Raw genomic sequence first — 11895 nt, 5'->3', positions numbered from 1 at the left:
AAAGACTGGGACTCAACGTCTGTTCCTTTTCAGAGATTTCCTATCATAAATACTTCTGCAGTGCATCTCCTAAGAACAAAGCCATTCTTCATGACATCAGTGCCATTTTCATACCCAAGAGATTTAATATCGATGCAGTACTAGCCAATGCAGTATTAGCCAATAGACAGTTTATATTTCAATTTCAGTTGTTAGACCCCCTCCCCTGCTGGATTCACTCACTGCCTGGAGTTATTTCTCTTCGGTCTCCTTTAATTCAGATCAGTCCTTCTTTTTTTAGGGGGGGTCTCATCACCTTGATAATTTTGACGGGTCCAGACCAGTTGTGTAATAGAATATCCCATATTCTTGATTTGTCTAATCCTCCCCTCCCTCTTGCCTTGTAATTAGATAAAGGTTAATTTTTCTTTTTTCCTGCAGAACACACTTGGATAATGTCAGTTTGTCCCGTTTTTGGTAATGTGAAGCTTGATCGCTTGCTAAAGGTGGTGTCTGCCCCATTTCTCCATTTAATGTTTCCTTCTTCCATTTGTAATTAACAGGTACTCTCTGGGACCATCTTCTTCTCTATCAGCCTTTCACTCAGTGATTTTAGCAGCATTTATATATATATATATAAAACTATAGATTATATATATGATAAATATATATCAGTTTTATACCCTCTCTTTTTTTCTTTTTTTTCGAAGACTCACTATGGATTCCTGGATTTTTTAAAATTGTCTTTTATAATCAATTATTATTCTTTCTGGTCGATTTTTTTTCCCCCAGATGTGGCCAGTGAAGCCCCTTCAAGACAGTTCTTATGTTCTTTGGGCACTAATCCAGCTTCTTTGAGCATTTTCTTGCTTTCTGATACAAGATGTTTCAGTCATCCCTTCTCCCTGCTGCAGTCATTTCTTCAGGGAGCCTTGGTTACTTTTTAGCAGACAACAGTTCAGAAACCAAGATGTGGATGCCACAAATGCTCATTGCTACTGGAGTGTCATTGCTCACAGGTTTGGCACCTGGAATATTAATGAGTGAACAAACTTTACCTAGCCCCAGACACTAAGAATATGGAAACGTTTATTTATTTATTTATTTTTGAGGCGGATTCTCGCTCTGTCACCCAGGCTGGAGTGCAGTGGTGGGATCTCGGCTCACTGCAAGCTCCGCCTTCTGGGTTCACGTCATTCTCCTGCCTCAGCCACCCGAGTAGCTGAGACTACAGGCCACCACGCCCGGCTAATTTTTTGTATTTTTAGTAGAGACAGGGTTTCACCATGTTAGCCAGAATGGTCTCGATCTCCTGACCTCGTGATCTGCCCGCCTTGGCCTCCCAAAGTGTTGGGATTACAGGCATGAGCCACCGCACCCGGCCTCGGAAACATTTATTAAACAGCAGTGTATCAGCTGCCTGTCACTACCACTAATTATAGCCAGCATTTTGTAGAATACTTACCGTTTGGCAGCTGTCATCTTTGTGCTTTCATGTGAATTACCTAATTTATGTCCTTTCATAGTCCTACTGTCTCCATTTTTGGATAAGGAAACTGAGGCTTAAAGTAAACTACTTTCCCGAGGTCGCATGACTGGTAGCAGGGGAACCAGGGTGATAAACTTGGTCTGTCTGGCTGCAGAGCCTGCACTTAGTAACACATGGTCCCAGCCAGCACTGGGCTAGATGCCAATGATTCCAGACTAACCTGGACCCTGCCATCTGGAGCACAGTCTGGTCGGGAGAAGAGGACCAGAGTGATGGGGCATCAGCAAAGGCCTGGAGAGCAGAGAGGAAGTCACCTATCAGGTAGGGACTGTTGTCATTTCCGTTTTACAGGTGATAAGATGGCTGCAAAGATTTACTTGTCCACAGTCTGAGAGGCAGAAAGAGCAGAACTGGGTTTTTAACCAAGTCTGATACAGGGCCTTTGCTATTAATCACTATACTGTATATTAGAGGGCAGGATGCAAGTTATTCTCCTTTTTATTTTTATTTTTGTGGGATGGAATCTCACTCTGTTGCTCATGCTGGAGTGCAGTGGTGTGATCTTGGCTTACTGCAACCTCCACCTCCCGGGTTCAAGCAATTCTCCTGTGTCAGCCTCCTGAGTAGCTGGGACTACAGGTGCCCACCACCACGCCTGGCTAATTTTTTGTATTTTTGGTAGAGACGGGGTTTTACCATGTAGGCCTGGCTGGTCTCGAACTCCTGACCTCAGGTGATCCACCCGCCTCAGCCTACCAAAGTGCTAGGATTACAGGTGTGAGCCACCGCGCCTGGCCAGGGCCGCTTCTTAAGGTGAGTGCTCCCCAAGACTCTGTTCTTGGGCCACTTCCAGTCCCACTTCCCACTTCCTCCTGGGCAAGCAACTGACAGCCCTGATGCTATCCATCTTCTGTCTCCAGCTCCCACACCTCTTGCTCCGTGAGTTCGGATCTGTGGATCCTACCTTGTGCCTATTGGATTTTATTGCATGGACATCCCACAAGCGTAACAAATAAACGTCTACAACTTCTTCTCAAGGCGGTTCCTGCCTCTGGATTTGTTATACCTGGACAGGGCATGACCCCTGGGCTAAGAACTCAAGCCGTAAATCTGAGTATCAGCCTTGTTTAGTTTTCTCCATCTCCATCAGTGATCAAGTGCTGTGTGACAAGTCACCCCAATATGTAGTGGTTTAAACCCACCATGGTTTATTGCTTCCTGTGACTCTTCTGGTTTCACCTGGGCTCCCTTAATGTGGCTTCATTCAGCTGGGAGTTGGCTGGAAGGTCTCAAATGGCTTCACTCTCACACTGGCCTTGATTCCCCCCTCGTGGCCTCCCTCTCTCATTTTTCAGTGGTCTAGCCTGTGTCCCTTTAAATGGCAGCTGGGAATGACAAAGCTGGGAAGTGGCAGTCACTTTCACCATGTTCTCTCGGTCAAAGTGTCACAGACACAGACTCCTCTTGTTGATTAGTGGGGTGGCGTACCTATACAGGGATGGGGGTCAGTGTTGTCCATAGAGACGCCCACAGCACCCCCTGCATCCAATCAGACATCAGGTCAGCAGCTGCACCCCTAGGTGGTAGGCTGGTAGCACACATGACCCCACTTCTCTCCCTGTCTGGATCTGTGCCCTTGGCTGCTGAACTTTGCAGTGCCCTCCCACGTGCGGGGAGGGGGTTCCATCCTACCCCTTGACTCTGTGCTCAGGCATGTGACTTACTTTAGCAAATGTGATTCAAGAAAAAGCTTGTAATGGGGCTTTTGCCTGTTTTAATCCCTCTCCAGCTCCCCTGCCACTTAAAGGTACACAGGCTAGGAGAAGGTCTGGGCTCGCCCATGGGAGGTGAAACACCTGGAACTGAGCTGAGCCACCCCTGTGCTCTCAGTGAAGGCCTCCTAAACCAGCGGCCCAAGACACATGAGAAGAGTCCAGCCAAGAGCTGCAGATCCACCCACCCAGACCCACAGATCCACCCATCCAGACCCACAGATCCACCCACCCAGACCCACAGATCCACCCATCCAGACCCACTGATCCACCCATCCAGACCCACAGATCCACCCATCCAGACCCACCGATCCACACATCCAGACACACAGATCCACCCATCCAGACCCACCGATCCACACATCCAGACCCACAGATCCACCCATCCAGACCCACAACTGGCCATAGATGCGTGAGTCCTGAAGAACCACCTGGCCAATGCACAGGCTGGTGAACTAGCTAAATGCTGGTGGTTTGACACTGTTGAGTTTGGGGTAGCTATAGACAACTGACACTCCATGCCTTCCAGCATCCCTCCTGCCTCAGCTCAGGCCCCCTCCTCCTCCTGGTCCTGCAACAGTGTCTGTTTCAGCCAGGATAGGCTAGTCTGCGCTGCCAAAACAGACATCCCCAAACTGAAGTGGCTCAAGGCAATCAAGTTTATTTTGGCATTTGCTCCATATGTAACTTCATGGACAGAGGTTCCTGCTCCCTGTGGTTCCTCAGGGACACAGACTGAAGCTCCACCGTCTCCTGTGGCCCCTTTTGAACACAGAGGACACAAGCCAGGGGAATTGTACCCTGATTCTGAAATGCTTCCACTAGAAATGACACCTATCTGCCCACTTTTCATTGGCTACAATTAGTCACACACGTCAGGTGCAGTGGCTCACACCTGTAATCCCAGCATTTTAGGAGGCCAAGGCAGGAGGATTGCTTGAGGCCAGGAGTTGGAGAACAGCATAGTGAGACCCTGTCTCTACAAAAAATTTAAAAATTAACTGGGCAAGGTGGTGCATGCCTGTAGTCCCAGCTACTTGGGAGGCCGAGGCAGGACGATTGCTGGAGTTGGAGGCTGCAATGAGCTGTTATCACAGTACTGCCCTCCAGCCTGGGCAGCAGAGTGACACCTTGTCTAAAAAAAAAAAAAAAAAAAAAAAAAAGGCCAGGCGCGATGGCTCACGCCTGTAATCCCAGCACTTTGGGAGGCCGAGGCGGGTGGATCACCAGGTCAGGTGTTCAAGACCAGTCTGGCCAACATAGCGAAACCCTGTCTCTACTAAAAATACACAAAAAATTAGCTGGGTGTGGTGGTGTGCGCCTATAATCCCAGCTACTCAGGAGGCTGAGGCAGGAGAATTGCATGAACCCGGGAGGCAGAGGTTGCAGTGAGCCAAGATTGTGCCACTGCACTCCAGCCTGAGTGACAGAATGAGACTCTGTCTCAGAAAAAAAAAAAAAAGGTTGGGCGTGATGACTCATGCCTGTAACCCAGCACTTTGGGAGGCCGAGGCGGTTGGATCACTAGAGGTCAGGAGTTCAAGACCAGCATGACTAATAGTGTGAAACTCCGTCTCTACTAAAAATACCAAAAATTAGCCAGGTACAGAGGCGCATGCCTGTAATCCCAGCTACTTGGGAGGCTGAGGCAAGAGAATTGCTTGAACCTGGGAGGCAGAGGTTGCAGTGACCCGAAATCACACCACTGCACTCCAGCCTGGGCAACAAGAGCAAAACTCTGTCGCAAAAAAAAAAAAAAGTCACATGGTCATGCCTAAAAAAGTATAGGAAGTACAGTTTTATATGACTGGAAGTGGAGGAAAACCAGATATCCAGGATCACAGTGATGTTTCCCACAGTTCCCTGAATTGTTTCTCAGTCTTAACATTCTTTCCCCATGAAAATCAGACCAAGTCACTCTGCTGCTCATAAACCGTCAGTGGCTCCCTATGGCCCACAGGATAAGGCCCAGTTTTCATATGGTGTTCAGTAGCCTGCATGACTCATTTTGACCCTTCCAGCCTGAGTGTCACTGAGAATATCGAGTCTATTCACTAAACAGCTGGCCTTTGCCTGGCACCCTAGTTCATTGCTGTCACTCACACAGGCCCTTCTGCCAGGAAAGGCCACTGCCTGTCTCTCGCCTATCTGGCTGTGGCCCAGTCCTCTGTGACAGGCCAAGTCTCAGCAGCATCTCCCCATGGAGGCCATTCCTGGCCTGCGGAACTGAACACACTGCGTTCCAGAAGTCTGAGCACGGTTTTCCATTCTAACAACTTCCGAAGTATGAATGCCATAAACTTAACAAAAATTAGCATTTGAAATTTTGTGTAATTTTCCTTTACACTTACTTAGTTCTGTGATTTTGAAAGACTAGATTTTAAATTTAAATTTAAATTTTTTTATTTCAGTTCCTCTGACTGAAGATGGTGAATAATGACTAAAAATGAAAGTTAAATTTACAAAGCTAAGTAAGTGCCAAGGATTTAAATAGACTTCAAAATAATTTTAAAAATAAATTAGTAAAACTATAGAGTCCGAAGATCAGGGTTGCTAGGAGTTCAGCGGGTGGGAGGGGATAAGGGGTAAACGGGAGCCCAGGGAACTTTTAGGGCAGGGAAGCTGCTCTGTGTGACTATGTAATGGTGGATGCATGTCATTATGCATTCGTCAAATCCCATAGAACGTACGACACCAAGAGTGAGGCCTAATATAAACCATGGGCTTTATTTAATAATAATGTGTCAATATTGGTTCATCAACTGTGACAAATGTACCACACTAATGCAAGATGTTAAAAATGGGGGAAACTGGGCAGGCGTGGTGCCTCATGCCTGTAATCTCAGCGCTTTGGGAGGCCGAGGTGGGTGGATCACCTGAGGTCATGAGTTTGAGACCGGCCTGGCAAACATGGTGAAACCCTGTATCTACTAAAAATATAAAAATTAGCCGGATGTGGTGGTGTGCGCCTGTAGTTCCAGCTACTCGGAAGGCTGCAAGGCAGGAAAATCGCTTGAGCCTGGCAGGCGATCTCACCACTGCCCTCCAGCCTGGGCAACACAGCGAGAATCTGCCTTACCAAAAAAAAAAAAAAGATTAGTGGATGAAACAAGACTAAAACCTGGTTACAGCGGCTAAAAATTTCAGCCAGACAGGGGCACTTTAAATATTCAAACAAGGTCAGCGAGCACCCTTAGAAAACACAGGAAGTGCCTGCGGTTCCTTAGTTATACCAGCAGGTGGAGCTCTCCCCCCACCTATGATCAAGGTACTCAGGCAATGGAAACAAAATTAAGTTTAGGTGTAGAAAATTTTCTGCTTCTTCCCTGGGATCCGGCAAATATAACAAGGGGCTATATACACACCAGGTGTTCAACACATAATTGAGTCGAAAAACAAGGCTCAGATGCATTATATAGAGAGAAACTGGAAAGGACGTGGATCCTTGAATGCCAGGTGTTCGCATTCAGGCTCCCTGTCTCAGTTTCCGTCTCTGAAAAATGTCAACAATAATATTCAAGGAATTATTGTTGGGAAGATTAAACAAGTTAATGAGTAAAACAGTTTTTTAGAGTGTCTGGCACTTTCAAGCCCTATATAGGTGTTAGTAATTATCAGTTTATTTCTTTTTTTAATGAGACAGAGTTTCGCTTTGTCTCCCAGGCTGGAGTGCAGTGGCACAATCTCGGCTCGCTGCAACCTCCGCCTCCCAGGTTCAAGCGATTCTCCTTCCTCAGCCTCCTGAGTAGCTGGGATTACAGGTGCCTGGCACCACGCCCGGCTAATTTTTGTATTTTTAGTAGAGACGGAGTTTCGCCGTGTTGGCCAGGCTGGTCTCGAATTCCTGACATCAGGTGATCCATCCGCCTTGGCCTCCCAAAGTGCTGGGATTACAGCCGTGAGCCACCACTCCCGGCCGGTTTATTTCTTAAGCTGCTTTGTTGAGGTATACCTGATATACAACAAACTGCACATATTGTAAGTATACAATTGCCAAGTTTTGACATATGTATGTACCCAAAGGTTTCCTTGTGGTCCGCTCTTGTTCTTTAGCAATCACTGACCTGTTTTCTTTCACTGTAGATTAGTTTGGATTTTCTAGAATTTTATATAAATGTAATCATACAGCATGCACGCTTTTTAATTCAGCTTCTTTCACTCAGCATATTTATTTTCGTTTCATCCACATTGTTGCGTGTATGAAGCTCGTTTCCTCTGGTTGCTATGTGGTATTCCATTGTATGATTATACTAGTTTATCTGTTAATGGACATTTGGCTGTTTCCAGTTTTGGGGTGTTACAAATAAAGCTGCCGTGAGCATTTTTGTGCAGGTCTTCATAGTGACGTGTATCTTCATTTCTCTTGCTTAAATACCTAGGAGTGGAATGGTAGATGTGCATTTAACTTTTAAGCAACTACGAGGCCGGCACGGTGGCTCATGCTTGTAATCCCAGCACTTTGGAGGCCAAGGCGGGTGGATCACGAGGTCAGGAGATCGAGACCATCCTGGCTAACTCAGTGAAACCCCCATATCTACTAAAAATACAAAAAATGAGCCGGGCATGGTGGCCTGTAGTCCCAGCTACTCGGGAGGCTGAGGTGGGAGAATCGCTTGAACCCAGGAGGCTGAGCTTGCAGTGAGCCGAGATCGCACCACTGCACTCCAGCCTGGGCAATGGAGCGAGACTCTGTCTCAAAAAAAAAAAAAAAAAAAGAAACTACGAAACTGTTTTCCATAGTGATTATGCATATTCACCTGCAGGATATGAGACTTTTAACTGCTCCATATTCTTGCCAGCAGTGGGTACAGACAACCTTGGATTTTAAATATTTCAATAGATGCATAGGTTACAGACAACCTTGGATTTTAAATATTTCAATAGATGCATACTGCTGTATTATTGTAGTTTTAATCTGCATTATTTTAATGACTGTGTTAAACATCTTTTCCTATTTATTTATTTATTTATTTATTTATTTTGAGACAGAGTCTCACTCTGTCCCAGGCTGGAGTGCAGTGGCCCAATCTCTGCTCACTGCAAACTCTGCCCCCCAGGTTCAAGTGATTCTCATGTGTCAGCCTCCCGAGTAGCTGGGATTACAGGCATGTGCCACCACACCGGGCTAATTTTTGTTTTTTAGTAGAGATGGGGTTTCACTGTGTTGGCAAGGCTGGTCTCAAACTCCTGACCTCAAGTGATCTGCCCACCTCGGCCTCCCAAAGTGCTGGGTTACAGTTGTGAGCCACCAGGCCCGGCCTGAACATCTTTTCATGTGCTCACTTGACATTACATATTTTTTGTTGAGAGTGTTCATTCAAATCTTCAAGTCCACTTTATAAAATTTGGTAATTTGTTTTATTATTGAATTTTGATATTATGTATATATTCTGGATGGAAGTCTTTTTTTTTTTTTTTTTTTTTGAGACAGAGTCTCACTCTGTTGCCCAGGCTGGAGTGCAATGGCATGATCTCGGCTCACTGCAATCTCCGCCTCCTGGGTTCAAGCAACTCGACTGCCTCGCCCTTCCAAGCAGCTGGGACCACAAATGCATGCCACCACGCCTGGCTAGTGTTTGTATTTTTAGTAGAGATGGGGTTTCACTGTGCTGGCCAGGCTGGTCTCGAACTCCTGACCTCAGGTGATCTGCCTGCCTCGGCCTCCCAAAGTGCTGGGGTTACAGACATGAGCCACTGTGCCCAGCTGGAAGTCCTTTATCAATAATGTGTTTGGCAAATGTTTTTTCCTAGACTGTAGCTTGTCCTTTTATTCTCTTAAAAGTGTCTTTTGAAGAGCCATTCTTAATTTTGATGAGGTTTTATTTGTTCATTTTTTTCTTTTATGTATTGTATTTTTGATATTATATCTAAGAAAGAGTTAACCGAATGCAATGCCACAAAGATTTTCTCCTGTTTTTCCTTCTAGACATATTATAGTTTTAGACTTTACATTGAGGTCTCTGATCCATTTGGAGTAAATTTTTGTAGGTAATTGTGGTATGTAGTGTGAAATATGGGTTGAAATTCATTTTTTTCTGTTTGGATATCCAATTGTTCCAACATCATTGGTTGAAAAGTCTAGCCTTTCTCCACAAAATTAACTTTGTACCTTCATTGAAAAATCAATGGACCATTTCTGGACTCTCTCTCTCTCTGTCTATCTATCTATACACACATATACACATATATATACACATTCATATATACACATATATACACATACATATATACGCATATGTATATACACACATATATATATTGAGCCAAAGTCTCACTATGTTGCCCAGGCTGGTCTTGAACTTCTAGACTCGAGCAGTCAGCCTGCTTCAGCCTCCTGAAGTTCTGGGATTACAAGTGTGAGCCCCTTCGCCTGGCCTGGAGTCTTTATTCTGTCCATTGATCTATTTGTCTATCTTTATGCCAATACCATATGGTAGTTTTATAATAAGACTTGACCGTGATCATACCACTGCACTACAGCCTGGGCAACAGAGTAAGACTCTGTCTCAAAAAAAAATAAATAAATAAAAATAAAAATATATAAGGCTTGAAGTCAGAGAGCCTAAATCTTCCAACTTTTTCTTTCCAAAGTTGTTTTCGGCTATTCTAGGTCTTTGCATTTTCATACAAATATTACAATTAATTTATTAATTTGTACCAAAAAAGCCTACTAGGATTTTGAATGGGATTGTGTTAAGTCTGTCCATCAATTTAGGAAGAATTGACATCATAACAATATGAAGCCTTCTGGTCCACACGTATGACATATCTTTCTATTTAAATTTCTATTTTATTTTATCTATTTTAAAATTTTTTTCAGCAACAGTTAGTAGTTTTTTCCTCAGTCTTTTTTTTTTCTCTTTGTTTTATTTTGGATACTTTCTATTGCCATGTCTTCAACTTCACTAATATTTTCTTCTACAGGGTCTAATTTGCATTGTTATGAATGGAATGCTTGTGTCCTCCTCCCCCAGATTCATATGTTGAAGCCCAAACCAAATACCAATGTGATGATATTTGGAATGGGGACTTTGGGAGGTAATTAAAGCTAGATGAGGTCATGAGGATGGGGTCTTCATAGTGAACTTTGTGCTTTTATAAGAACAGACACCAGAGAGATTGTGCCTTCTCTCTCTCCATAGGCACACACCAAGAAAAGGCCATGTGAGGGCAGAGCAAGAAGCCAGTCTGCAAGCCAGGAAGATAGTCCTCACCAGAACGCAACCATGCTGGCGCCTGGTCTTGGACTTCCAGCCTCCAGAACTGTGAGAAAGTAAGTGTCTGTTGTTTAAGCCCCCCAGACTATTATTTTGTTATGGCAGCCTGAGCTAAGACATGTTCTTAATCCCATCTTGCATCAAGATGGGATCAATATTTTGCGTCTCAGACATTATAGTTTTCATCTCTAGAAGTTCAGCTTAGGTTTTTTTTTTGTTGTTGTTTGTTTGTTTGTTTGTTTGTTTTTAAGTATCATTCATTTTTAAGACTGAATGTGCTGAATCTTTTTTCTAGTTTCTTGAACACATAGAATACAGTTATAATAACCTAAAATATCCTAATCTACTAATTCCATTATCTGTGTTATTTCTGGTTTGGTTTCAATTGATTGATTTCCTCCCCTCATTTTGGGTCATATTTTCTTGTCTCTTTGCATGGATACTGCCTTTTTTTTTTTTTTAAATTGCATGCCAGAGTGCTAAAAATGTTTGTGCTTTTACAAATATTCTTGATCTTTTTTTTTCTAGGACACAGATAATTTACTTGGAAACATTTTTATCATTTTGAGACTTCCTTTTAAGCTTTGCTAGATGGGGCTGGGTGCGGTGGCTCACACCTGTAATCCATGGCTCACACCTGTAATCCCAGCACTTTGGGAGGCTGAGGTGGGTGGATCACTTGAGGCCAGGAGTTTGAGACCAACCTGGACAACATGGTGAAAACCCTGTCTCTACTATAAATACAAAAATGAGCTAGGTGTGGTGGCACATGCCTGTAATCCCAGCTACTTGGGAGGTTGACGTGGGAGAATTGCTTGAACCCAGGAGGTGGAGGTTGCAGTGAGCCGAGATCAAGACACTGCACTGCAGCCTGGGCAACAGAGTGAGACCCTGTCTCAAAGGAAAAATTAAAAAAAAAAAGTTTTGTTAGATGGGACCAGAGTGGTATAAGTCCAGAGCTCATTTTGCCTTAATACTGAGGTAAAACCTTTCTGGGATCTGACTTGATGCTACATGAATTATGACATTTTCTATTGCAGTTGTTGGGATCAGGAACTACCCAGCCTTGCATGAGCTCTGGGAATTGTTCACTTTAAGGCCGGGGTGGTTCTTTCCCCAGCCTGGGGTTGTTTGCTTGCATGCACCTGCTCAACTGAAGACTTAGGGGAGCCCTCTGCCCATCTCAGGACATTCTCTGCATGGCCCTCTGCTGCCTCTGCTCCATCCTTCACACCCTAGCCACATCGGCACTCCTCCTTCCCAGCTCTGTCTCTTGAAGGTCAATGGACTCCCTTTGGCGGACTGTTCGTGTGCCAACGCCTGGAAACTTTCCTCAGGCAGTCAGCTGGGCAATTATAGGACACACTTCATCTCTTTCCCACAGCACGGGGATCACCATCCTTCAAGACCTGATGGCCGGTGTCTGGAACACCATTGC

General features: G+C 44.6%; 2 annotated features.

Moving 5' to 3' along the window:
• Positions 28 to 77: an enhancer, noted in NCBI's record as "active region_10386". NCBI's record gives its function as "activates an Ori minimal core promoter by ATAC-STARR-seq in GM12878 lymphoblastoid cells {active_cell/tissue: GM12878}" and the evidence as "EXISTENCE:reporter gene assay evidence [ECO:0000049][PMID:35858748]".
• Positions 5971 to 6020: an enhancer, noted in NCBI's record as "active region_10385". NCBI's record gives its function as "activates an Ori minimal core promoter by ATAC-STARR-seq in GM12878 lymphoblastoid cells {active_cell/tissue: GM12878}" and the evidence as "EXISTENCE:reporter gene assay evidence [ECO:0000049][PMID:35858748]".

The sequence above is a fragment of the Homo sapiens genome, chromosome 16 (genome assembly GCF_000001405.40).
Source record: "Homo sapiens chromosome 16, GRCh38.p14 Primary Assembly".
In the NCBI taxonomy this organism is placed as follows: Eukaryota; Metazoa; Chordata; class Mammalia; order Primates; family Hominidae; genus Homo; species Homo sapiens.
This window is presented reverse-complemented; position numbering and strand designations above follow the sequence as displayed.